Source organism: Homo sapiens, chromosome 19 (assembly GCF_000001405.40).
Source record: "Homo sapiens chromosome 19, GRCh38.p14 Primary Assembly".
NCBI lineage: Eukaryota > Metazoa > Chordata > Mammalia > Primates > Hominidae > Homo > Homo sapiens.
This window is the reverse complement of record NC_000019.10, coordinates 32,328,626-32,331,132: the sequence shown is the minus strand read 5'-3', so window position 1 is coordinate 32,331,132 and position 2,507 is coordinate 32,328,626.

Below are 2,507 nucleotides of genomic sequence, written 5' to 3'. Positions count from 1 at the left end.
TTGTATTTTTAGTACAGGCAGCTTTTCGCCATTTTTGCGAGGCTGGTCTTGAACTCCTGACCTCAAGTGATCTGCCGGCCTTGGCTTCCCAAAGTGCTGGGATTATAGTCGTGAGCCACTGCACCCAGCCTGCTCTCTTCCTCCTGCTCCCATGGCTGCTTCCCCTTCATCTTCCACCATGATTGTAAGTTTCCTGAGGCCTCCTCAGAAGCAGAAGCCTGTACAACCTGCAAAACCATGAGCCAATTAAACCTCTTTTCTTTGTAAATGACCCAGTCTCAGGTATGTCTTTATAGCAGTGTGAGAACAGACCTGGAGAAGGGGCGCTGGGTGGAGCGGGACAGCTCATGCTTCCCTCACCTCTGTGAAGGGCCTTGCAGGGTCTATGGAAGGTTCCTCTGCCTCGTGCCTCAGGACCCAGCACTGTGGATTTCTCCAGCTGGTGCCATGTCAGGCTCAGCCCCTTATCCTCTCCATCTCAGGACTGGGAAGCTGGGCAGGTGCAGTGACACCAGCGGAGCGCCCAAGAGCAAATGCGATTTTAAAGTTGTTAGGGCATTTTGGCATTCAGTTCCCCGAGATGAACAAAGTGTCTTGTCTGGTAATTGCAATTAATGGCTCTGCTATTCAAGCATATCCGTCAATAAATCTCCTCTAATAACCGATTGGGCACAGTTGTTGCCATAGTTATGTCTCTAAATTGAGCTCAGGGTAGTTGGCCACGACACTGACCTTAGCGGGGTCAGGGCTGCTTCCTGACTGTATGACTGCATATCCCAGGAATTAGAACGACCCTCCAAATGATTGGCTTCCAGCCAGCTGAGAGGCACGCTCAGCCCCGCAGCTTAACTGCCTGGAGATTTCCTGTAAATCTCTTAAATGCAGAATAAAAGTCTTCGAAACCCTGTAACGCCGGTGGTTGCAGTAATTCTGTCCAATCCACTTCTGTACAATGCTGGGATAGAGTCAACAGGGAGACCCCATATCAGATTGGTGGTCACCAGTGTTGTTCATGGCAGGCCTCATCTCAGATTCCTTGGTTGATGAGGTCAGTGCCCTACCATGCATTCATTCTCTTTAATTCTTCCCTTGTAGATAATTCCTTCTCCACTCCCAAGTACTGTCTTTAGGAGTCCATCTCTCTACAAAAAAAAAAAAAAAAATTTTTTCTTGGATTTCTAGAGTGTCATCTCAAAACCCAGCTTGGAACAGGGTCTTGCTCTGTTGTCCAGGCTGGAGTGCAGTGGGGCAATTATGGCTCAATGTAGTCTTGAATTCCTGGGCTGAAGTGATTCTCTTGCCTCAGCATCCAGAGTAGCTAGGACTATAGGAATGTGCCACCATGCCCAGATAATTTTTATTTTTATTTTTTTGTAGAGATGGGGTCTCTCACTATGTTGTCCAGGCTGGTCTTGAACTCCTGAGCTCAAGGGAGCCTCCCACCGCAGCCTCCTAAAGTGTTGGGATTACAGGCGTGAGCCATGGCACCCAGCCGGGAGTCCATCTGTCTCTTAATCCCACCCTTTGGCTCTTTCATGGGCCATAATTCTGCAGCCACCATGCTTGCTTGTTTGGTTCAGGGGTCAGCTTCCTGAAGCCCCAGCCATTACTCAGAGATCACATCTGCCCACTGCGTCCTCATTTTATGTCATGCCTTGCATCTTCAGGAGATCTTGGATTTCCAGGGTGCCATTTCAAAACCCAGTTTGGACACCTCCTGAGGTGGGGGTGCTTTTAAAAGTGTCTATTTATATGCTTGAGATGATTGCAGATGATTACACAGAAGGTGGAAGAAGGGATCTGGAGGCAAAAGAAAAATAGTCTCTCTTAATTCGTGTCTGTGTAAAATCCCAAAAAAATGGGAAGACAATGGAAGTCCATTTCCTGTCTCTGATTGGGACTCAGGCTTGATTTAAGCTTTTCTTTCTTTTTTTTTTTTTCTATAGTTTTTCAGTCTCTCAAGTGTCTTTTATTCTAACACAGTTCCTTTTTTAAAAACATTTTTTATTTTTTATTTATTTTACTTTAAGTTCCGGGATACGTGTGCAGAATGTGCTGGTTTGTTACATGGGTATACATGTGCCATGGTGGTTTGTTGCACTTATCAACCCATCATCTAGATTTTAAGTCCCGCATGCATTGTATACTCTTATTCTCTTTTTTCAGAGTTGGGGTCTTGCTTTGTCCCGGCTAGAGTCCAGTGGCATGATCATATCTCATTGCAGCTTCCGGCTGCTGGGCTGAAGTGATCCTCCTGCCTCAGCATCCTGAGTAGCTGGGATTACAGGCATGTGCCACCAAGCCTGGCTAATTTTTAATTTTTTTTGTAGAGATATAGATCTCACTATGTTGCCCAGGCTGGTCTCAAACTCCTGGGCCCAAGTGATCCTCCTGCCTCAGCCTCCCAGGTGGCTGGGACTGTTGGCAGGTACCACCATGCCTGCCTATTTAAAAAATATTCTAGTAGAGACAGGAGCTCACTATGTTGACCAGGCTGGTCTTGAACT